This window comes from Homo sapiens, chromosome 3 (assembly GCF_000001405.40).
Source record: "Homo sapiens chromosome 3, GRCh38.p14 Primary Assembly".
Classification (NCBI taxonomy): Eukaryota; Metazoa; Chordata; class Mammalia; order Primates; family Hominidae; genus Homo; species Homo sapiens.
In genome coordinates, this window is record NC_000003.12 from 129,726,515 (window position 1) to 129,752,871 (window position 26,357).

At 39.3% G+C, this 26,357-nt stretch overlaps 1 protein-coding gene across 13 annotated transcripts in view, besides 1 other annotated feature; it reads right to left on the reverse strand.

Annotated features, from left to right (window-relative positions):
• Positions 1 to 26,357, reverse strand: part of TMCC1 (transmembrane and coiled-coil domain family 1) — a 245,920-nt gene that overhangs the window by 78,723 nt on the left and 140,840 nt on the right. The gene's annotated exons all lie outside the window — the stretch shown is intronic.
• Positions 8,475 to 8,975: an enhancer, noted in NCBI's record as "H3K4me1 hESC enhancer chr3:129453832-129454332 (GRCh37/hg19 assembly coordinates)". NCBI's record gives its function as "activates a minimal SCP1, AML or CMV promoter by ChIP-STARR-seq in naive H9 embryonic stem cells {active_cell/tissue: H9 hESC(naive)}" and the evidence as "EXISTENCE:reporter gene assay evidence [ECO:0000049][PMID:30033119]".

Sequence of the window (26,357 nt, forward strand, 5' to 3'; positions counted from 1 at the left end):
AAGAATTATACGGACTCTACTTTTTAAAAAGTATACCTCTCCATTAGAGATTCTAATATCTCAAGTCTCCTAGGGATGTGAAGGCCGGGCATGATGGCTCACACCTGTAATCCCAGCACTTTAGGAAGGCGAGGTGGGAGGATCACCTGAGGTCAAGAGTTCGAGACCAGCCTGGCCAACATGGTAAAACCCTGTCTCTATTAAAAATACAAAAATTAGCTGGGTGAGGTGGCGCACACCTGTAATCTCGGCTACTTGGGAGGCTGAGGCAGAACTGCTTGAACCCAGAGGTTGCAGTGAGCTGAGATGGTGCCACTGCACTTCAGCCTGGGTAACAGAGCAAGACTCTGTCTCAAAAAAAAAAAAAAAAAAAAAAAAAAAAAAGAACCACTGTTCAAACCAAACATCTTATTCTGTAGTACAAAACCCTAGTCTTTGAAAGGAGAATTGAATGATGTAGTTGTGGCCCTATCAGATCTAGAATCCACATGTACTGATTCTCCATTTCTGTTCTTTCTACTAAACCATGGTGTACCCTCCTACAATCTTGTTCCTACTTCATGCACTGTCATACCAATCTGTTTTTTTATGTCACCATTGTATGAAAACAATGGAACAAACAAATGAACAAAAAACAAAAACTCTTCAATTTCTGCAATGTACTCACTTTGCAGAGATGTTCATGGTTTGGTATTCCTGCCTTATAGCTTCACTATATAAATCCTCTGTGGAGGCTTTTTTTGGACAAATTATTTCTTTGGAATGCTGTTTGACTGCATGATCAATGAAGGTTCCTTTCTAGCCCCAGAATTAATTCTGAGATTGTCTATAGTGCTATGTGAGGTTTTTTGGAACCTTACTGAGGATCAATAAATGGTAGAAAAATTCTGGGGAAAACTGATTAGGTACACAAAGAATGAAGTTGGTGGGCTTCATTTTTATAAATATGAATTTTAAATCTTTATAAAGATGTAAGTCTATAATCATCAAAGCTTACAGAAAAATAATACATTTTCAACATGTTTAAAATAATCACATTTTACATCTTTATAAATAACAGGCAATCTTCAATTATTCCTTCTTAGATAATGGAGTCTCTTAATGTTTCTTGCTAAAGTAATATAGGTAGTCCTGAAGGTCTGAAGGAAAGCTGAGAAAGCTGTTACAACAAAAATAAAACAAAAGCCCTCACTATCTGCAACTGACAGTAATTTGGAGGTCCCTAATGAGCCAGCCCTCTTGGTACTGATGCCCCACGTAGTCTTCTTCCCATACTGACTTTGGGCTTGGTGACTAGCTGTGACTAGCTATAGCAAATGGCATACTATCAACAACTATGCAAACAGAGACTTGTTAAGTTCTTGCAAATTGGGGATTATTCGAACTCAGCTGCCATGCTACAAAAAAGCCCAACTAGTGTAATCAAGGTCCCTGGCCAAAAGCCACAGCTGAACTCAGAGTCAGCAGCTAACATAAACAGCTAGCATGTGAGTGAGGCTATTTGGACTTTCTGATCATCCCAATACCTCAGCAAACTTAATAAACTTTGCTTTGACCTAAAGCAGAAGGGCTCTGTACTAATTTATTGAATAATTCTTATTATGTGACAGGCACACTATATGGGACATTTAGGGATATAAAAATGAGTAAGATAAACAGGTTTAACCTAAAGCAAAGTTTATTAATATAGGGAACTTGATACAAACCAGAAGTGCCTGTTCAACCCACAGAATCAAGACAAATAAATTGTCACTTTAAGCTACAAAGTTTTTTTTGTTGTTGTTGTTCTGAGATGGAGTCTTGCTCTGTCGCCTAGACTGGAGTGCAATGGTGCGATCTTGACTCACTGCAACCTCCGCCTCCAGGGTTCAAGCGATTCTTGTGCCTCAGTCTCCCAAGTAGCTGGGATTACAGGCGCCGGCCACCACGCCCAGCTAATTTTTGTAATTTTAGTAGAGATGGGGTTTCACCATGTTGGCCAGGCTGGTTTTGAACTCCTGACCTTGTGATCTGCCCATCTCGGCCTCCCAAAGCACTGGGATTACAGGTGTGAGCCACCGTGCCCAGCAAGCTACAAAGTTTTTAAAAAATTTCTTAACACCACAGAATTTACTTTTTACGTATGTGTACAGTTCTATGAATTTTAAAACATGCATAGACTCATGAAACCACCAGCAGTATAATCAGGATACAGAGAAGTTCCAAAAGACTTCCTTATATAGTCACACCTAACCCCACCACTAACCCTTAACTTATTCTTTTTCACTATAGTCCTATCTTTCTGAGAGTGTCACATAAACAGAATCATACAGTATATAACTTTCTGAGACTGATTTATCAACACAATGTCTTTGAGATGCATAAAGGATGATGCATGTATCATAGTTCATTCCTTTTCATTGCTGAGTAGTAGTTCATTGTATGTATATACCACAGTTTATCCATTCACCTGTTGAAGGACATTTGGATGGTTTCCATTTTTTAGCAATTGTGAGTAGAGATGCCATAAACATCAGTGTAGAGGATTTCATAGAAATGTAAGTTTTCATGTTTCTAGGTTAAATACCTAGGCATGGATTTACTGGGTCACATGTTCAGAGTATGTTTAACTTAAAAAAAAAAATCACCAAATTTTTCCAGAGTAGTTTTGCCATTTTCCTTTCCTACCAGCAGTGTATGAGAGTTCCAATTGTTCTCTGCATCCTTGTCAGCATTTGCAACTGTCAGTTTTTTATTTTAGTCATTTTAAGAGTGGTACCTCATCAAGATTTTAAATGCATTTTCTTAATGGATACTAAGGCTAAATATCTTTTTATGTATTTAGTTGTCATTGTATATGACAACTTTTGTTGTCTGTTTTAAAGAATCTGTTTAAGACATTAAAGAATCTTTTGTAAAGAATCTGTTTAAGACATTTGACCATGTATTATATAGGGTTTAAAAATAAAACTATTGAGCTTTGACAATTTTTTATATACAGCTGTTCCTTGACTTTTGTCTCAATAAATGAACTGTGAGATGAAAATATTGGCCAGGCACAGTAGCTCACATGTATAATCCCAGCACTTTGGGAGGCCAAGATGGGAGGTCACTTGAGGCCAGGAGGTTGAGACCAGTCTAGTCAACACAGCAAGAATCCCATCGTAAAAAAATAATAAAATGAAAATATTGCAAGTTGAAAGTGTATTTAATATACCTAACTTACTGAACATCATGGCTTAGCCTAACCTACCTTAAATTGCTCAGAACGCTTACATTAGCCCACAGTTGGCAAAATCACCTAACGCAAAGCCTATTTCATAAAAAGGAATGAGGCCAGGCACAGTGGCTCATGCCTGTAATCCCAGCACTTTAGGAGGCTGAGATGGGAGGAATATTGAGCGGAGATGGGAGGAATAATTGAGCCCAGGAGTTCAAGACCAGCCTGGCCAACGAGTGAGACCTTGTCTCTGCTTTTAAAAAAATTTTTAAATAAATAAAATAAAAAAATAGAAAAATAATTTATTGACTATTGTACTGATAGTGAATAACAGAATAGTTGTACAGGTACTCGAAATATGGTTTCTGCTAGACATATATTGCTTTTGCACCATTGTAAAGTCAAAAAAATTGTTAAGTTGAACCATTTTAAGTCAGGAACCATCTGTATTCTGAATATAAGTCCTTTGTCAGATATGTGATTTACAAATTTTTCTCCCAATATGCAGCATGCCCTTTAATTCTCTCGATAGCATCTTTCACAGATTAAAAATTTCCTGTGTTGTTCTAAAAGTTTCATAGTTTATTTTATATATTAATTTATGATTTATTTTGTGTTAATTTTTATATAAGGTGTGAGAAGTTCAAGTTTTTGCCTACAGATTTCTACTTTTTCCAACACCTCTTTTTGAAAACACTATCCTTTCTCCATTGAATTGCCTTTGTATTTTTGTGAAATATGAACTGGCAATATTTACGTGGGTCTATTTCTGAACTTTCTATTCTATTCCATTAATCTACATGTGTACCCTTTTACTAATATGGCCTCATCTTGGTTACTGTAGCTTTATGGTAAGTCTGAAAGCTGGGCAGAATAATTCACGTAACTTTATTTTTCTTTTCCAGTATGGTTGACTCTTCTAGTTCTTTTGCCTTTCGATATATATTTAAGAATAAGCTTGTCTATCTCTACAAAAAGGTCCTGCTGAGATTTCTGATTGGAATTGTGTTAAAAGGATAATAGGGAATGCCTACAAAGAACTGTGTGTACATAAATCAACAGTTTACATGAAGCGGACCAAATTCTCAAACAACAAACTACCAGAATCACCTAAGATGAAATAGATAAACTGAATGGTTATATAACAGTTTTTAAAATGAAATTTTGTAATTAAACATATTCTGAAAAAGAAATCTCCCTGTGGTTTCACTAAATTCTACCAAACATTCATTACAAATAAATCAATTCTATACAATCTGTTCCAGAAAGCAGAAGGAGGAACTCATTTTATGAAGCCAGCATTATCCAGGAATTAAACCCGGAGAAGATCTGTTAAAACAAAACAAGACAGCAGACCAATAGCCCTCATACTAGCAAATCAAACCTAGCAATGTATATGAAGAATAATATACCATAACCAAGCAGGGTTTGTATCAGGAATGCAATGCTGGTTCAATATTTGAAAACCAAGCAAGGTAAGCAACATTAGCCCAGAGAAGCAAAACCACATGATATCAATTTATACAGGAAAAGCATTTGAGAAAAGTCAACAGCCACTCATTATTAAACTCTTAGCCAATTAGGCTGGACGCGGTGGCTCACACCTGTAATCTCAGCACTTTGGGAGGCCAAGGTGGAGAGATCACATGAGGCCAGGAGTTTGAGACCAGTCTAGCCAACATGGTGAAACCCTGTCTCTACTAAAAATACAAAAATTAGCTAGACATCGTGATGCATGCCTGTAATCCCAGCTACTTGGGAGACTGAGGCACAAGAATCACTTGAACCCAGGAGGCAGAGGTTGCAGTTAACCGACATCGTGCCACTGCACTCCAGTCTGGGTGACAGAGTGAGACTCCGTCTCTAAATAAATAAATAAATAAGAACTCTTAGCAAATTAGGAATAGAGGGGAACTTCATCATTTTTTTTTTTTTAAACAGGCGTGAGCCACCGTGCCTGGCCCAAAATTTTTTTACACAGCAGCTAATTTCATACTTACTGGCTCAAGCCATCCTCCCACCTCAGCCTCCCAAGGAGCTGAGACTACAGGTGTCAGCCCCCAAGCCCGGCTAGTTTTTCGTATTTTTTTTGGTAGAGACAGGGTTTTGCCATGCTGCCCAGGCTGGTCTTGAACTCCTGAGCTTAAACGATTCACCTGCCTCAGCCTCCCAAAGGTCTGGGATTACAGGTGTGAGCCACTGTGCCTGGCTTCCCATATGTTTTAAAGAATCTCTAGATTTATAATACCCAATGCAATGCCTACACATCACTTCATTCACATGGATTCAACATAGTATTTCATGTGTGGCAAATTCAAATTTTGCTTTTTGGAACTTTTTGAAATTTTTTTTCTAAATATTTTGTGTAGACTGGCATAGTATGTTGCAACCTTGCTAACCTCACTTAGTTCTAGGAGTATTCTGTGGATTCCTTGGTTTTCTACATATACAGTGATGTAGCCAGTGAATAGAAATTGTTTTACTTCTTTCTTTCCAATTTGTATGTCTTTTATTTCCTTTTCTTGATTTATTTTACTGGCGAGAACTTCAATACCAATAGAAATTGCCAGAGAGGACATCCTTGCACTGTTCCCCAGCCAGAACTCCAATGTCAGTTAAGTTTTCAAAGTCTTTGCAGTGCTTTTTGGATCTGTCCCACAGATGCACCACCCACCCTGTTGCCAGTCTGGGACTTGGCAATGGTCTAACCCCTACTTCATTTCTCAAAGTCTAGGTATACTGTTTGGGGTCAGATTTCTGCATGCAGACTGCATGAATAAGCTCAAAAATTCATAATAAAATTTAAAGAGTTTATTTTCAAATATCTTATAATCTCCCAGTACTTTCTAGGTCAATGGGATTCCCCTTTCTCATTACCTAGTCAGAAAGCTGGTATGTTATTTACTCTGCTCAGCCATACAATTTCCATAATAGTGCCTTTGTTTGGAAGCAAGCAGATGAAGGAGAGAGAAAAAAAGCAATTGAGACTCATTCCACCCTCTTGTAACCACAGCTCCACTGATCTGAGAATGGTTCCCTAAAATCAGAGTTTTAAGCTCTTGCTAGACCCCAATCTGCTGTCACTGCAGGACTGCTTGAGGTTCATGGTGCAAGAGAACAGAGGAAAGAAAAAGGAAAAAAGAAAAAGTTTCTGTACTTTCTATTAGTATTACAATATCGCCTTCCCATTCTTTGAACCAGAACTGAAGGCTTCTCCTAGAGTTCTCTTATCCACATTAATGTCCACTTAGGGGTTTTAGGCTGTGTTGATTTGAAGCCTGAGGATATGAGAGAGGTGAGAATGATAAATTAAACCCTGGTTCAACAGTACTTCAAAATCTGCTCCTTCTTAGTGCAACTTTTAAGATACGTCTTTTGGAGTCCTCAAATAGTTGCTCTAGGCCAGGTGTTTTAGCTGAGTTCAGTAGAAAAGACAGGTGAAATGTGTTTGCTCCATCTTACCCATAACAGGCATCTTAAGCCACGAAGTTCTGAGGTGAACTGTTACACAGAAATAGATAACTGGAGTACAATCCAACTCAAGAAGCAATCATTCAAGTGTGGTGTACATGAAACAACACAGCCTTTATGCATCTTCTCTAGAAAAGTCACCAGATAATTATAAAACAGATGCTATCAGTTCAATGGCAGACTATTCTCTGCTTTCTTACCTTGGCTTCTAAGAAACAGATTCAATAGTTTCATTATTGGAGTAATCAAAGTGATAGCAGTAAAAACCATGGAAGCCTCTTAGTAGATGTGGGTTTATTCTGCTGTCAGGTATAATTTGTCAGTAAGGGTTTGGACATTTCATTCTTTCATGCCCTGACTGGTATCAGTCAGAATTAAGAGAATCATTGGAGGAAAAGGGAACAACGAGGAAAAATTTGGAAAGTGGAAATGCCCTAAGGGAAAAAATTTTCCCCAAAGTTATTCTTGTATAGAATTCCTAAAACAAGGTTTTAGTTTTGCGGTCTTGAAAACAGAGTATTTCACCAGCAAGCAGCATTTCATTCAGAATAGCCTACCAACCTGTTTGTATAATTAAGCACTAATATTTCCTGAATTAAAATATCTAGGATGTCAATCAGCTCCACTAGCTATCATAAGCTTTGCCCAACATAAACAAATCACTACACAGAAAGAAACTGTGTAGATAGCACCATTTCACATCCACGAACAGGCAAAAATTTTAAGTGTTTGTGAAGATGCAGGTCAATGGGAACTTTCACACACTACTGATAGGAATAAGTTAGCATAATCACTCTGGATAGCAATTTAGCAATATCTAGTTAAACAGAAGATGAATATACTGTATAACCCAGTAAATCCATTCCTAGGAATTACTAGATAAATTAGTATATACTAGAGAAACTCCATATATTTGCATAAGAAGACATGTTCAAGAGTATTCACTGTAGCACTGTTTATGAAACAATGAAATATTGAAAACTGTATGTCCATTAACAGGAGAATCAACTTACAAACTGGTATATTCATAAAACAGAATACTATACAACAAGTAGATCAGAACTATATGTTATCAGTGTAAATAATTTCAAAAGCATGATATCAAGTGAAAAGAGTAAAGAAATTTTGCGTATACAGACTTGCATAACATGTAGAAGAGAATCATTTACATAAAATTTAAAATCATGTAAAACAAAACTATATGTTTTTTTATGGACAGATGTACATGCAATACAAGTACATAGACATATTTGTTATTTGAGAGGCTGAGGTGGGCAGACTGCTTAAGCTCAGGAGTTTGACATCAGCCTGGGCAACATGGAGAAACCCCGTCACTACAAACAATATAAAAATTAGCTGGGCTTGGTGCTGGTGCCTGTAGTCCCAGCTACTTGAGGCTGAGGTGGGAGGATTGCTTGAGCCCAGAAGGCAGAGGCTGCAGTGAGCTGTGATTGCATCACTGCACTCCAGCATGGGTGACAGAGGGAGATTCTGTCTCAAAAAACACAAAAGAATAAAACACATATGTTAATGAAAAACACTAAATTCAGGATAGTACTTGTCTCTGAAGAAGCGGAATGGATTGAGGAATGGTACACAAAAAAATGAAAGTACCAAGTTTGAAAAGCTTGGTAATTGTGCTTGAGTGTTTGTTGTTATTCTCTTTTTCATTTTTCTTGCATACAGCCACCCATTAATCTCTTTATTTTTCTGTTCGAAATTTTTTTTTTTTTTTTGAGATGGAGTCTCGCCCTGTCACCCAGGCTGGAGTGCAGTGGCGTGATCTCGGCTCACTGCAAGCTCCGTCTCCGGGTTCATGCTGTTCTCCTGCCTCAGCCTCCCAAGCAGCTGGGACTACAGGCGCCCGCCACCACGCCCGGCTAATTTTTTACATTTTTAGCAGAGATGGGGTTTCACTGTGTTAGCCAGGCTGGTCTCTATCTCCTGACCTCATGACCCGCCCGCCTTGGCCTCCCAAAGTGTTGGGATTACAGGCGTGAGCCACTGCACCCAGCCTCTGTTTGAAATATTTTATAACACAAAAATCAGAAAGAAAAAAACTATGAGAACATATATACATTACATTGTTAACATTCAAATGTTTAATGAAAGAATATTCTAACAATATGTTAGCTAAACACACTTCGCCAAAAAAGTGTGTTTAAGCAAGCTAAAAGGGGCCAGGTGTGATGGCTCACTCCTGTAATCCCAGCACTTTGGGAGCTGAGGCAGGAGGATTGCTTGAGGCAAGAGTTTGAGACCAGCCTTGGCAACACAGTGAGATCCTGTCTCCACAAAAAAGGAAAAAGAAAAAAATAGCCAGGTGTTGTGGCACGCACCTGTAGTCCTAGCTACTTGGGAGGCTGAGGCGGGAGGATCTCTTGAGCCCAGGAGTTCAAGGCTGCTGTGAACTATGATTGTGCCACTGCACTCCAGCCTGGGCGACAGAGCCAAGACTCTCTTAAAAAAAAAAAAAAAAGCAAAGAGAACCAGGGATTATGAAGATTTAATACGTTTCAAAAGTGCATGTAAGAGAGCAAGTGAAAAACAGGTTAGCTTCTGTTATATCCTAAGTAAAGGTCTCATGACTCAAGACAGTAAGGAGAGGAGCAGCCTCTATGAGCTCTCTTGCTTTCCCCACCATCATCTGCTACAATACAGTACAGCAGGTTATTTGGCACATCTTGCAGCCTGGCAGTGATTTCGTTCAAAGCTGCGAACATGGTAGAAGCCTGCTGACCTTCTGGGGGGACTCCTGGAACATCAGAGAAAGAAAAGTCTACATGGAGTAGAGCCGAAAGACCTGCTCTTATCTGTAGACCTTAAGTAATGTACTTTGGCCAGAGTAGAAAGGGGAGTTTTACTCATTCTATACCCTCTTCTGGCTCTCATATGACTTGCTGGGTAAGAAAGTAGAGAATTTGTTTTTTTGATCTTACAAATGACCCAAAAATCTGCTGGGTCACCTGAGTTAAGGCTGTGGATCTCGTGCAGGGATTGTGAGGAGGATGAGCAAGTGATCACCATGTTCACTTGGTATCTACTGGCACAAATGCCAAACTATCAATTCTACTGACTCATCTGCATCTGCAACTGGCAGGACATACCTGTATCCCGTGCAGAGCCTGCCAGAATGCTACACTGTAGAGTCACTCAGGATAGTGAAAACTGTGGCAATAATTTTATCACACAATTGTTTAATACTTTAGTTACTTATCCCTTTATGTTAGTTGTACAATGTTAGGCAAAAACAAGTCTAGGCCATTTAATAATTGTGATGAAACTTCTCCTTTAAAAAAATGAAGGCTGGACTAGTAATGACAATTATTATTTTCTTTTCTTTTTTTTTTTTTTTGAGATGGAGTCTAGCTCTGCTGCCCAGGCTGGAATGCAATGGCACAATCTCGGCTCACTGCCACCCCCACCTCCCAGGTTCAAGTGATTCTCCTGTCTCAGCCTCCTGAGTAGCTGGGATCACAGGCGCCCGCCACCACGCCCAGCTAATTTTTGTAATTTTAGTAGAGACAGGGTTTCACTGTGTTGGTCAGGCTGGTCTCGAACTCCTGACCTCATGATCCACCTGGCTCAGCCTCCCAAAGTGCTGGGATTACAAGCGTGAGCCACTGCGCCCGGCCGCAATTATTCAAGTATGAGTACCCTTTCTCTAACTTTTAATTATAAAAAATTTCAAATATACTGGAAAAAAAACCAGAAAAGATGTTATAATAAACAGCCATATACCTACCACCCATACTCAACAACTGTTAACCTTTTGCCATATTTGCTTCACTTTCACACATATGCAAACCTAAACCACTTAAAGTAAATTACATATGATCCTCCACACTGCTATGATCTGCATGTCTCCCCAAAATTCATATGTTGGAACCTAATACCCAATGTGATAGTGTTAAAAGGTGGGGCTTTTGGAAAGTGATTAAGTCATAAGGGCTTCACCCTCATGAATGTGACTGCTGCCTTATAAAAGAGGCTAGAGGGGGGCCGGGCGTGGTGGCTCACACCTGTAATCCCAGCACTTTGGGAGGCTGAGGTGGGCGAATCACCTGAGGTCAGGAGTTCAAGACCAGAGACCAGTCTGGTCTGGCCAACATGGCAAAACCCCATCTCTACGAAAAAAATACAAAGATTAGCTGGGCGTGGTGGCACACACCTGTAATCGCAGCTACTCAGGAGACTGAAACAGAGAATTGCTTGAACCCAGGAAGCGGAGGTTGTAGTGAGCCGAGATCACGCCGCTGCACTCCAGCCTGGGCAACACAGCAAGCCTCCATCTCAGAAAAAAAAAAAAAGAGGCTTGACGGAATTCTCTTGCCCCTTTCACCATGTGATGATGCAGCAAGAAGGTGACATCTATCTATGAGAAATAGGCCTTCACCAGACACCAAATCTGCTGGCACCTTGAACTTGGACTTCCCAGTTTCCAGAACTGTGAGAAATAAATTTCTGTTGTTTTTAAACTACCCAGTCTAGCGCATTTTGTTATAGTAGCCCTACAAACTAAGACACACACCCCAAAATACTTCAGCACATATCTCCAAAATTTAAAGCCATTCTCCTAAATAACTACAATGCCATTCTCACACCTACTAAATTTACCATAATTTCTTGATATCATCTAATATTCAATGATATTAAAAAGTTGACCACTTAAAATAGTTCCACTGTAACCAAGGATCTAAGTGCACAGGCTAGAAACCATTGGCCTATGAGTCACATGTCTTAGGGCAGAAATAATATATATAAACTCCAGAACTATACTTCTTTCTTAAAAGAAAGAGAGCTCAGCCAGGCGCAGTGTTTCACGCCTGTAATCCCAGCACTTTGGGAGGCTGACGTGGGCAGACCACCTGAGATCAGGAGTTCAAGACCAGCCTGGCCAACACGGCAAAACCCCATCTCTACTAAAAATACAAAAATTAGCCAAGCGTGGTGGTGGGCACCTGTAACCCCAGCTACTCAGGAAGCTGAGGCAGGGTAATCACTTGAACCTGGGAGGCAGAGGTTGCAGTGAGCCGAGATTGTGCCATTGTACTCCGGCCTGGGCAACAGAGTGAGACTCCGCCTAAACAAAAAAAAAAAAAAAAAGAGAAGAAGAAAAAAGAAAGAGAGCTTTCAATTTTCACTTTTGGCTTTTCAGTTCTAACACTGTATGTTTCAAAAGGCACTCTACTCAGGCGTCACGTTAATTAGGAAGCAGTATTCCTGGAATAGATCTTCATATATTACACAATTCTGTTGCAGTACCAGTTACTAATCCATAACCTACTTTACTTCCAAACAGGAATTTAAAATGACTTGTAAAATTTATTTGTTTTTAAAAAACTTTTAATAACAACTACTGTTTCAATAAAAACTACAATTAAAGAATAAAAGTTATAATAGGAGACAGGGAAGCAGACAATTGAACTAGAAACATAAACCAAGGCTAGCTACTGCAAGTGAACACTTTTGAGTTTTCTAGCAACCAAAGCAAAAATGGAGATAGCGTGGTTTCATTGTAATTTTTTTCATTGGCGATTAAAAAAAGTGTTTAAGAATAGAATTTATCTCCACTTAACTGGAGGAGAAATTTACACATGGACTTTTATATAAGAAGAACTAATAATTAAAATCTTTTTTTTGTTTTTGTTTGAGACAGGGTCTCACTCTGTCACCCAGCCTGGAGTGCAATGGTGAAATCTCAGCTCCCAGCAACCTCCGCCACCTGGGTAAGTGATCCTCCCACCTCAGCCTCCTGACTACCTGGGACTACAGGCACGCGCCACCACGCCCAGCTAATTTTTGTATTTTTTGTAGAGATGGGGTTTTGCCATGTTGCCCAGGCTGGTCTCAAACTCCTGGGCTCAAGAGACACACCTACCTTGGTCTCCCAAACTGCTGGGATTAAAGGCAGGAGCCACCATGCCCAGCCTAACTAAAATCTTTAAGAATTATCTTTTTTAAAGATTAAAAGATATCCTTCACAGATGATTCTTTTTTTGAGACAGAATCTCACTCTGTCTCCCAGGCTGGAGTGCAGTGGCACCATCTGGGCTCACTGCAGCCTCTGCCTCCCAGATTCAAGAAATTCTCATGCCTCAGCCTCCTGACTAGCTGGGATTACAGGCATGCACCAACACACCTGGCTAATTTTTGTATTTTCAGTAGAGACGGAATTCTACCATGTTGGCCAGGCTGTCTCAAACTCCTGACCTCAAGTGATCCACCCGCCTCGGCCTCCCAAAGTGCTGAGATTGCGTGAGCCACTGCGCCTGGCCCACAGATGATTCTTATAACCATCTACAACAATAACCAAGGGCTTATAAGATCATAGTTCAGTGAATGAGTTTCTACATGAGCTGAAGGAACACAGTTTAAGTCTGTAGCTTTCTGGTAACCTGACTTGATACTGGAAGAGAGATAGTCTAGTAAGGAACAGGTCCCTTAGCATATTATTACCAAATATTAAGTATCTAATCTCCATTTTTGTCACAAGTTGGTCAGCACAGAAGACTGAACTCACTGGCAAGCAGTCTGGCAATTAGCATATAATCTCCAAGTAAAACAGCCTAAAAATTTTTTTCCCCACTATTAGTTTCCTTTACACCAAACAGGTTCAATGTCCTGTTGCATAAGTTAATGGAAGAAAGAAATATTGCGAAAACCTGAGGAGTCTGATTTCAGATTCCCTGATCTTAAATACTACATAGGAAAAGGGTAAACTAGATTTAAGATTCTTACTTTTGGTTCCCTCTTTTGCTATTCCTCGTCATTTATTAAGCACACAAGCACTTACGTGCAAGGTTAGCATACAGCATTAGTTTTCTCTCAAATAATGTTTCTCAACTCAATTGTTCCTTCTGAATCCCAGTCCTGCCATTTCAGAGAAACAGAGCGGTGTAAGTGAGAACAGCTCAGGTCTTTGCAATCTCTGAAGACGTCCTAGTCTGCACGTGTTTCAGACTGCCTTGCATGGAGCCTGGGCCCAATATATACTAGTTACCTTTCCTGTTCCATACTTCCATCTCAGATGTATTCTCCTAGATACCAATCACTATGAATTTCTATGCAGAAATTGCAAGTCTGCTAGTCAGAATTAGAGTTCAAAGTTCTTTGCTTCCCCTGTGCCAGCTGATGACATCTCCACACCTCAGTTCTATCCAAGAGAAGCATGTCCACTGCTTGATAACTTAGTAGCACAAGTAAAGCTTAAACTTTGTACTCGTCATTAAAAAGGCAATGGCATAGGATAAATCAAGGAATAAAAATTGTTCTGCTCTTTTCTGTACTTCCTTTCTGGTATGACTCTTAATATATTCCCAAATAATGTTTCCTAACTCATGGGAGTTCTCAACTCAACCACGGGAAGGGTGAGAAGTATGCAAAAAGCTGAGATCAGAGCTATAAAGTACTCAAGAGATGCTTAGTTCCATGACATTGGGAAAGTAACCACAGGCCCTTTATCGGTGGGGTGAGAAGAGTATAAATATGAGAACCAATTCTAAGAAATGATTTTTTCATAGTTCAAAGCAAAGTCTACCTATCTCTACAAGCTGTAATTTATTTTGGCCTCTTGTACTTACCACTGTTCCCCATTGTGACTTCATTACCTCACTGGTCTTCTTTCTTTGACTCCTGAACAAAAATTTCAAAGATTCTAGCACACGTACAGATAAACTATTATTTGACTGGGCTTTACAACATCTAGTTCTGGTACTTATAAGTTAATCAGATAGCATATACCTTTAACCTTATTAACATATGGCACTCTTCCACTTCACATCTGAGATCACCAATCTCAGGACTCATTGCCCCTTTGGAATTATACCTTAAGCTTTCATATGTCTAATATGTCTAATAATTTTAGTCTCATTGCTAGTATCCTATTCCCTTTCCATACCCACCCACCAGGATCTATTATCTTTCAAGCAAAAATCATGGTGATATAAAGAAATCAGGAAGAACTGGATTAGAATCACTGCTGTGTTGACTATGACAGTATAACTTTCATAATTACTGAAAACTGGTTTCTTCATCATCAAAAGGAGGATACAGCATCCCTTACATAATTGTTTTGAATAAAGACACATGTACTATCAGCTGCTACTAGTAGTACTGCACTGAATAATTTCCAAATTTCAAATATAATAATCCCTTCTACCTGTATGGCTGTTTAAAAAGTTTCCAAAGTAATTTGACATTATCTCCATTTTATAAAAGAGAAGATTGAGGCTTGCAAAAGTCCTGCATATGTTAGAGCCTCAGTAAAGGCAAGCTACCATTCAGAAGGCCATGATTTATTCAAGGTCACACACCTAATATAGATTATAATTAGAACTAAGGACTTCTGACTCTTCACTAACAATCTTTCTACTACTTTGCCACTGAGTTAATTGTCTCTAATTCTGTGCTGCTATATTTATTTGAAGGAAATAAAATTATAAATTACATTTTTTATGCTCGATCTCTGCTTTAACTGCTTTCTGTTGGCTTTATCTTATAAATTTAGAGCAGCTCTCATATACTTAAACTTGTCTCCATTTCTCCACACACTTATTATAATCACTGAAGATTCCACAACTTATTAAACAGAAGAGGTTGAGATCATCAGTTATATCTTAACAGACTTCTACCACTACAACTTCATTCTCTAATTCCGTATTTTAACTCTTACTTATATACAACACAGGCAAACACCTCTCTGATTCAAATATCTTATCTTAATCTCATATAATTCACATAATTTATCTAGAAACCAGACTGGAATGCTATCATTTCTGCTATTTAAATTCCTCCTTTAAAGACAATGCTGAAGAATCATTTCCTCTGTCAAGATAACTCACAGGGAAAAGATGAATAGTCTTGATCTTTTGGATGAAAGACCTAAATCTAAAACTCTCGTAAGAAAACATGGATGTAAATCTTTGTGACCTTGAATAGTCAATGAGTCTGTTTGTGTTTTTTTCCTGGTCCTTGATTTAGGATAGGCAGTGGTTTCTCAGATATGACACCAAAAACATAAACAACAAAAGAAAAAAAATAGATATGATCAAAATTAAAAACTGTTATGCTTCAAAGGACACCATTAACAAAGTGAAAAGATAAAAACCACAGAGGAAAGAATCTTGCAAATCATACATCTGATAAGGAACTTGTACACAGAATATATAAAAAATTATAAGTCAAAATTGAAAAGACAATCCAATTACAAAATGGACAGAGGACCTGAACAGACAGTTCTTCCAAGATGATTACAAATGGCCAATAAGCACATAAAAAGATGCTCAGCTCATCATTAACCACCAAGGAAGTGTAAATAAAAATGTGATACTACTTCATACCCACTAGGATGGCTATAAAGACAGATAATAATAACAATTGGTAAGAATGTGCAGAAATTGAAACCCTCATATATTGCTAGTGGTAAAAGGTATGGCATGTTTGGAAAATAGTCTGGCAATTCCCTAAATGATTAATCTACTCCTACATGTATACACCCAGGAGAAATGAATAAATGTTTCCACAGATATTCACAGCAGCGTTATTCATACTGTCCAAAAAGTAGAAACAACATAAATGTCCATCAACTGATAAATGGATAAAATGTGACATATCCACATAATAGAATATGATTTTGCAGTAAGAAATGCATTATGACATGGATAAACCTTCAAAACAATGTGCTAAATAAAAGTAGCCAGATCTGAAGGACCATGTATTACATGTTTCTGGAAAGAAGCCAGCCCCAAAGGACGACATATTGTATGATTCCCTTTATAGAAGATGTCCAGAATAGGCAAATCTATAGGGATAGAAAATAGATTAGTAATTGCCTAGTGCCGGGGGAGAATGGGGAGATTGGGCAGTGATGCCTAAGAGGTATGGGGCTTCCTTTTGAGATAATAAAAATGTTCTAAAATTGTAGTAATGGTTGCACTCTGTGAATCTACTAAAAGCCATGGACTGTATACTTTCAATGGGTGAGGTGTATGGTATAAGAATTATATTTCAAAAAGCTCTTTCTAAAAAGTCACTCCTCCATGAAATATTTCCACAGACGAGTCTCACTTGTCAGTTTCCTCATCTTTGAAGCTTCTTAAGAAAAAATTCTTGGTTGAACCAAGTCTCTGAGGATGATTTGCTTGTAGTTTGTACATCTGAACTTAATGATCAACTAAGAATTCTAGAGGGATTGGGATAAGGAAGGAATTAAACATTCCATAAAAGACTACTTTTGTAGAAAAGTGTCATCTGTACTCCATGGTATCGCCTATGGTAAATCTGTGGAATTAAGCAGCTACCCCTCTATATGTTTATGTGAAGTATTCAGAGCAAAAAATTAAATCACAAAGTGACAAGATAGGGTTGTAGTAACATTATACAAATGGCACCATGGAATATGCATGACTGATACCAGAATTAGAAATACTGATAAAATTGTTATATTACAATGAACCATGGATTCTTTTGGATTAAAAAAAGTCTCTTCATTCTAAACAATTTATGACTTATTTTACTAAAAAGGCTACGATAGCTGGCAAATAAGCTAACCTATCTGCAAAATGCCCATTCCTGCTAAAGAAAAAATTCTTGACCCAGAACTTCAAAAATAAAGTTAACTGAAGTCACAACGTGCTTGATATTTATTAACTCATTTTCCAATCAAGTTTTTAAAAATAACTTCACTGTTTTTTAAAAAAATCAGATTTCTTTTCATTCTGGTAGGTGTCATTTGCCAAGTGCACTTGTTTAAAAAAAAAAAAAAGAGTACAGTCATAATAGTATCTAATGAAGCTGTCCACAGTGAAAAGCCTCTTTAATTTCAGTGACACCTAAGAGTATGATTTTAAAATACTTTCTTTGAAATTATGTAAGTTTCTGGATTAATTCTGACTGATATTGTGTTCCATGTACCAAGTTAGATGCAAAATAGATGCTTACATAGCTGATAAGATATCTGAACCTTACAATTTCACCTTTTAACTTTAATACTGGCACCAAGTTAGAGGTCAAGGAGCTCTGGTAGCAATTTCAAGGGAGGACACAGGAGGATGTCAAAAAGATTGGTTGTCGTAGTTTTTAGAAACCTCAATACAACCCATTTAACTTCACCACTTTCTTTTTCCTTTTCTAGTTTTATTTTTAATATAAACAGACAGGGTCTCACTATGTTGCCCAGGCTGGTCTTGAACTCCTGGGCTCAAGCAATCCTCCTAACTCAGCGTCCGAAAGCACTGGGATTACAGGCGTGAGGCACCGCACCCAGCCTCTTTATTATTTTTTAAGAGATGAGGTCTTGCTATGTTGCCCAGGCTGGTCTCAAACTCCTAGGCTCAAGTGATCCTCCCACCTCAGCCTCTCAAGCAGCTGGAACTACAAGCACACACACCTGTGCCCAGCATAACGTCACCACTTTCTAAAGAAAATAGCATGCATACACACACATATATCACCTTCCTTATCATCACCAAGGTTTCCAATCATACATATTTAATATATAATGTTAGTATGGTATGATATACAAAGAGTTTCACATATATTTGATATAATCCTCAGAACAGCTCCAGGAGGCAGTTATAATTACTACCACCCTTCACTCAAAGATGAAACTGAGAGGATGAGAAACTTACTCAAGGTAACAAAGCTGAGAGGTAATAAAGAAGGATTTCAAATCCACGGTTTTCAGCTTACAAAGCCTATCTGTGCCTTGAACTATTATGATGCTTTTTGTTAATCATTTAGAGTACATCAAGAATCTTCCTCACTGCTCCACAGAAGGAAAAATTCACAGTTCAGAAAGTTTAAGAGATTTCTCCATTATCACACAATAATAGAGCAATTTCAAGGGGAGATGTAGACATATTGAGTAATAATGGAGAGAATAAAAATTTCTTGTAAGACATGCACTGCACTGTCATGTGCTAAATGAAATTAAACTAGATTTCAAGGTATCAGCTACCATTTCTGGAGGCACTGCTATCTACTAGGAAGATTTTTATTCAAAAGTACAAAAACAAAGAGAAAAAAACTTCGTTACAATTTTAAACATGCACTCACACTTCTTGAAATTCACTCTTCTCTTGGGCTTGTATGATGAGATTATAAAACATTTTGTTGTCATATCCTACACCAACTGTACACCTTCTCTTGTGAGCACAGAGAATAACACCAACAGCTTCTCAGCCACAGTGCTAAACTGAGCGCTTCACTCCGCAGCTCAGCCTGTGCCAAGAGTAGTTTTGCATTTCTCTAAGCCTACTTGTTTCCACAAGAATCCTCCTCTTCAGAGCAAATGCCCTGATGGGAAATGCTGTATGTTTATAGTTGTGATTGCAGCCACTAGGGCTTGTTGCCAGACATTCTGGATCCTAAGGATCTTAGCCACTCTTTCTCCATTTTAGCTGCACAAAGCATGTCCTTCCCAAAGGAGAGAGAGAGAGAAGCCTTTAAATAGACACAGCTGAATCTTTTCTCATTTTAAAAAAGTAAGATGGGACCAGGCATGGTGGCTCACACCTGTAAATCCCAGCACTTTGGGAGGCCGAGGCGGGTGGATCACCTGAAGTCAGGAGTTCGAGACCAGCCTGGCCAACATGGTAAAACCCCGTCTCTACTAAAAATATAAAAAAATTAGCTGAGTGTGGTGGCACCTGCATATAATCCCAGCTACTCGGGAGCCGAGATTGTGCCACTGCACTCCAGCCTGGGCAACACAGTGAGACTCTCCCTAAAAAAAAAAAAGGAAAGAAAAAAAGCCAGATGGGGTCTTTCTTTGTTGCCCACGCTGGTCTCAAACACCTGGCCTTAAGTGATCCTCCCGCCTCAGCCTCCCAAAGTGCTGGGATTACAGACATGAGCCACTGCACCCAGCCCTGAACCTCTTTCCTTTTTCTCTTTTTAAATCCTTGCAAGGAGGGGGGTAAAAAAAACAACTAAGTACCCTTAGAGAGAAATTAATAAATATGCATATAGCTTTAAAAACTGGTTTAATTTTTTTTTTCCTGAGATGGAGTCCTGCTCTTGTTGCCCAGGCTGGAGTGCAGTGGCGTGATCTCAGCTCACTGCAACCTCCACCCCCCAGCTTCAAGTGATTCTCCTGCCTCAGCCTCCTGAGTAGTTGGGACTACAGGCGTGCGCCACCACGCCCAATTCATTTTTGTATTTTTTTTTTTTTTAAGTACAGACGGGGTTTCACCATGTTGGCCAGGATGGTCTTGATCTCTTGACCTCGTGATCCGCCCGCCTCGGCCTCCCAAAGTGCTAGGATTACAGGTTTAGTTTTTTTTAACTATGCAGACTGATGACTACTGTGTAATATAAAGTATTACAAACCATGGTTCTAAATTTGATCCTGCAAGTAAACTTGGTGATAATGAGCCAAGTCACATTTATACTCTGCCTCACTTGTGCATTTGAATAATAGGTGTTTTCCCCTAAAGGTATTGGGTGGCTTAAGGAAATACAATAAACATTGCTAGCATTCTTAAAAGAGCAAATGGAGCAATATAAGGAATATCTGAAATAAATGCATTCTCAATAGTTTAAAATTCCCTATACCTAATTCCCCTATATTCTTTACAAGGTTGGGGTAAGAGTCTGTTGTGTTCAGTATTACATCACCAGCACCCTGTGCAATGCCCTGAACACAGCAGGCACTCCACTGGAGATAAGAGTGTGGAGGAGCAGAAAGAACACCTACTACCTTACTTGGCCTCTTGCTAGTTTTTTAACATTGGGCAACCTTTTTAATCCCAATCTCAGTTTCCTCATCAGCACAACAGGATAATAATTACTTTGTATCATTGTTGGGAGAATAAATCATTGCTGTGAAAATGAATCAATGTATAATAGTACTTTTTCTTCTAGGCATTAAAAGGTATTCAATAAAATGTTAATTCCTCATATATATGAAGACTGATTTAAAACCTACATTTAATTAGGCCACACATGCTCTATTAACGTAAGCTGCAGGAGGATTTCTAAAAATAAACTCAGAGTCCCCTCAGTTACATATATATAAAAAAAAGTTCAACATTTTTTGCATCACAAACCCCTCTGAGAATTTAATGAAAACTATGCATTCTTTCTCCCGAAAAAAAATTCACACACATGCAAATTTACATATAATCCGAGGAAATCCATGGACCATATGGTTCTTTTCAAAGCTCAGCAAAGTCTGGCAACACTTCAGGAGTATATACATAATATTTGGCTCCATTTATAAACTTATATACCTTCATTTTAAGCTATATTGTTTCAAAATTATTTATAAATTACTTCGATAATTTAAAATATTTTAAAATTGAAACAACCACAATATTCCTATCTAATACCACAAGGTTTATTGTAGTTTTCTTCCTTTCCATATTTGGAACTCTCTTATTACTATGAGAAACCTGCTCTCATCACCCTCACTGTATTTATCAATCCCTCTCCTTCCATATGTAACCAATCTTCTATCTCTGCAGCTACCACCTCCCTGGTGTAGATGTCAACCTCATCCCACTTGGGCTCTGAAACTCCACACTAAGGAACTTCACTGCACCATGGATTCCCTTCTCACCCAACATGAATCCGACCCCTTATCATCACGCTGTACAGCTGCACAGACCCATTCCTTCCCCCTCACATCCCCTGGGCTCTGATGTGTCACCTGTCCGTACTCACTCCTTCCCACCCATGTCCTGCAGTAGCAGAAACACACTTTTCTCCTATAGTAATAACTAAGAAAGAACCCTGTAAACTGAATACAATCCAGGAAACTCCTTGGAAATATCTATGAAGAGAACTTGAAGAAAAAAGAACTTTAAACCATTTTCACACAGGATAAGACTTAGAAATATATTATTTTGAATAACTAGGAAAACATGGACTTAATCAGCACTCTTAGCTGAGCAAGTAGGTCATGTTACATACACCTAAAGAAATTTTACCCATATTATCTATAGAGACTCAGTATTCTGTGGCAAACCCAAAGCCAGGTTCAACACTTCCTGTGTCTCAAAACTGTATTGAAATAAACAGCCATGTCATCATGCCACTTCCCTGGTATCTTGCCATTCAGTTCTTGCCTGCTACATATGGGTAAATGGATGAGATTTGGGTTTTTGTTGTTGTTGTTGTTTTGAGAGGGAGTCTCGCTCTGTAGCCAAGGCTGGAGTGGCATAATCTCGGCTCACTGCAACCTCTGCCTCCCAGGCTCAAGCGATTCTCCTGGCTCAGCCTCCCAAGTAGCGGGGATTACAGGCGCCTGCCATCATGCCCGGCTAATTTTTGTATTTTTAGGAGAGACAGGGTTTTACCATGTTGGCCAGGCTGGTCTCGAACTCCTGACCTCAGGCAATCCACCTGCCTCAGCCTCCCAAAGTGCTGGGATTACAGGTGTGAGCCACTGCGCTTGGCCTTGTTGTTTTTTAAAGTGCCAACCAGGAAGCTAATTAACTTTTAGGTACAACTTCATAAAATGTTTCATAAATCATTATAGTAGCTACTACATACCCAAGATCTGTACTAGGTGCTACTTAATTTCAATTTCGGGCCAGCTGGGGTAGCTCACGTCTGTAATCCCAGCACTTTGGGAGGCTGAGGCGGACAGATCTCTTAAGCCCGGGAGTTGAAGACCAGCCTGGCCAACGTGGCAAAACACTGTCTCTACTAAAACTACAAAAATTAGCTGGGCCTGGTGACTTATACCTGTAATCCCAGCTACTCAGGAGGCTAAGTGCTTGAACCCGGGAGAAGGAGGCACAAGAATCCTTTGAAGCTGGGATGTGGAGGTTACAGTGAGATGAGATTGCACCACTGCACACCAGCCTGAGTGACAGAGTGAGACTCCGCTAAAAAAAAATAATTAAAAATTGAATTTCCACAACAACCCAATGAGTTGTCAATAAGGAAACAAATACTTGACAAAAGTTACCGCCCCCTCAACCACCCCCCACCAAAAAAAATAATAATAATAATTACCCTACTTGTTTAAAATATATTAGTAAGGAATCTGGGTAAAAATCAAGCAAATATCCCCAATCTGACAACACTGTACACGAGTAAAAGACCTATGGAATGAGATTCTCAGATACCAATTACGAATCATTTAAACTCTGATATCATATAAAAAACTCCCACAGAACCAGTCCACTACTTATAGCTAGTGATATTAATGAGAATAAATGACTGTAGTCATGTATACATATTAAACTTATAAAATCCTTCTTGCCAAATGTTAACAGAGGAAACAAAATGGAAAGAAAAGATATGGGGTTCTGAGCAGCTTAAGATAGGTATGAGATGCTTAATCTTGCTTTGATCTCTTAAAAGAAAAAAAAATCCAGCTATCTTCATTTGTTTCAGAGAAGTAAAAACAAAGATGTTTTTACAAATTAGTAAACTAATTTGTTTTTGATTTCAGGTCAAAAAGGAATTTTGGTTAATTCTGAATTTGATTTGCCAAGACTAAGTTATAACTATCATTATAAAAGTTTGATATCTAGATTCTAGATAAAACAGGATAATAGGAAAAGGGAATATTTAATATGCAGCATGAACCATGTTTCTCTTTATACATAAAATACTTTATTGTGAGGCAAATCAATGTTCCAGAAACACACAAATACAGAAATCTAAATATGGGGACAGACTGAATCCTGTTGAGACCTGTCTCAGCTTTCCAATATTTGAATCTATGATTCAAATTGAATCTATGACTCAAATATCCTGAGTACCTACTGGGCTCCTGTTTTGAATCTTGCAGTAGACCTCTAAATGGTTAAGTTCTTCTCTGTCAATTTACACCTTCAGCAGAACACATGTACTGCATTATAATGAAATTATATGCATATGATGCATTATTATGCATTTTTAAGAAAATACACTTTGTTCCAAATTATAGTTTCATTCACAGTAATAGTGTTTCTTGGATAAGTCATCATTAACATAAAGGAGTTGTTTCTCTTAGGTAAAAGAATGTTTCAAAATCTTGTCTCAAAATCTTTATTTTATTATTATTTATTTATTTACTTATTTTGAGACAAAGTTTTGCTCTTGTTGCCCAGGCTGGAGTGCAGTGGCGTGATCTTGGTTCACTGCAACCTCTGCCTCCTGGGTTCAAGCAATTCTCCTGCCTCAGCCTCCTGAGTAGCTGGGATTACAGGCATCTGCCACCACGCCTGGCTAATTTTTTCTATTTTTAGTAGAGATGGGGTTTCACCATGTTGGCCAGGCTGGTCTTGAACTCCTGACCTCAGGCAATCCACCTGCCTCACCCTCCCAAAGTGCTGGGATTACGGGCATGAGCCACCGTGCTCAGCCTTCAAAATCTTTAAATATATTCATATCCTTTGAATCAGAGTCCACTTTTCAGAGGCTATCCTACGGAAATAGATCTAAATTTTTTTTTTTTTTTTTTTTTTTGAGACAGAGTCTTGTCTGTCACCCAGGTTGGAGTGCAGTGGTGCAATCTCGGCTCACTGCAAACTCCACCTCCCGGGTTCACGCCATTCTCCTGCCTCAGCCTCCCGAGTAGCTGGGACTACAGGGGCCTGCCACCATGCCCGGCTAATTTTTTTGTATTTTTAGTAGAGATGGGGTTTCACTATGTTAGCCAGGCTGGTCTCGATCTCCTGACCTTGTGATCCACCCGCCACAGCCTCCCAAAGTGCTGGGATTACAGGTGTGAGCCACTGCGCCCAGCCAGATCTAAATATTTTTAAATTTTACATAAGAATTAAGAAAAAAGGTCTGGCACAGTGGCTCACACCTGTAATCCCAGCACTTTGGGAGGCCGAGGCAGGCAGATCGCTTGAGCCCAAGAGTTCGAGACCAGTGTGGGCAACATGGTAAAACTCCATCTTTACAAAAAAATACAAAAATTAGCCAGATGTGGTGGCACACGCCTGTAGTCTCAGCTACTCAGGAAGCTGAGGTGAGAGGATCACTCGGACCCAGGAGGTGCAGGTTGCAGTGAGCTGAGATCCTGCCACTGCACTCCAGCCTGAGTGACAGAGGGAGACCTGTCTCAAAAAACAAAACAAAACAAAAATTCGGGAAAAAAAAGACAAAACTCCAGGCTGGGTACAGTGACTCACATCTATAATCCCAGCACTTTGAGTGGCTGAGGCAGGAGGACCACCTGAGGCCAGGAATTCAGGACAAGCCTGGGCAACATAGTAAGACCTCATCTCTAAAAAAAATTTAAAAATTAGCTGGGCATGGTGGCAAGTGCCTCTAGTCCCAGCTACTTGGGAGGCTGAGATGGGAGGATCCCTTGAGCCCAGGAGTTTGAGGCTGCAGTGAGCCATGATTGCACCACTGCACTCCAGCCTTTCTGACAGAGCAAGACCCTGTCTCTTCAAACCAACCAACCAACCCTAAACACAATAGTATCTTTTTTTCCCCTCCGAGACAGAGTCTTGCTCTGTCACCCAGGCTGGAGTGCAGTGGTGCAATCTTGGCTCCTGCAACCTCCGGCCCTGTGTTCAAGTGATTGTCCTGCCTCAGCCTCCTGAGTAGCTGGGATTACAGGTGCATGCCACTACGCCCAGCTAATTTTTGTATTTTTAGGAGACACAGGGTTTCACCATGTTGGCCAGGCTGGTCTCAAACTCCTGACCTCATAATCCGCTCACCTCAGCCTCCCAAAGTGCTGGGATTATGGGTGTGAGCCACCATGCCCAGCACACTATAATATCTTTTCTATCTTCAACATTCATACTGAATTATCTGTAGGACTTCAAGCTGCCTATCTTCTATTTACTGTTAGGATGGTGAGGCCTTAGAACCCCTTGTTCCTGGAACCTAATTGCTTTAAATGTATGGGATGGGTTAGAAGATATTTATTTAATTTATGCATAATCTAAAAGTTTGCACTAACTTAGATAGAAGTGAATGCTTATACTATGAAAGGACCACCTTAATCCTGACCTCCCAACACAGCAATCCTCTATTACCCAGCTGTCAGCATAAACTTACAACAGTTCTCTAGGTAGCATTCTGGAAGGAGAAATGGCATCAGCAGAATGTTTTCCCTCACTCTCTGAATGAGCGAGCTGTGACCTTATCTCTTCCCTTTATGGATCTGGGTTAAACCTATCACTCATGATATTAACATCCATATATTCACTAGAACGGAATTTTTGATGATTGATTACATGTATCCCTGCAGGGGATTTTAAAAAAACCAAAATCTAAATAGTCATCATCAGAATCAAAACCAGAACTATACTCACCCTGGGAGGTCATTCTTTAAAGCTTCTATTCTGGATTAAATATATCCCAATTCCCCAGCCACTTGAAAATGACTAATGAATGATCAAAAGGTATATTAAATAATCTAATTTAGCCAGGTGTGGTGGTGGGCACCTGTAATCCCAGCTACTAGGGAGGCTGAGGCAGAAGAATCGCTTGAACCTGGGAGGCAGAGGTTGCAGTGAGCCAAGATCACGCCACTGCACTCTAGCCTTGGTGACAGAGCAAGACTGTCACACACACACACACACACACAAAAACTAATACATTAAAACAGTAAGTACCAAATGTCTAAATGATAAAAAAAATCAATTTCAAAGAATAAGGCACCTGTATTAGCCCGTTCTCACACTGCTATAAAGACACACCTGAGACTCAGTAATTTACGAAGAAAAGAGGTTTAAATTGACTCACAGTTCTGCAGGCTGTACAGGAAGCATGGCTG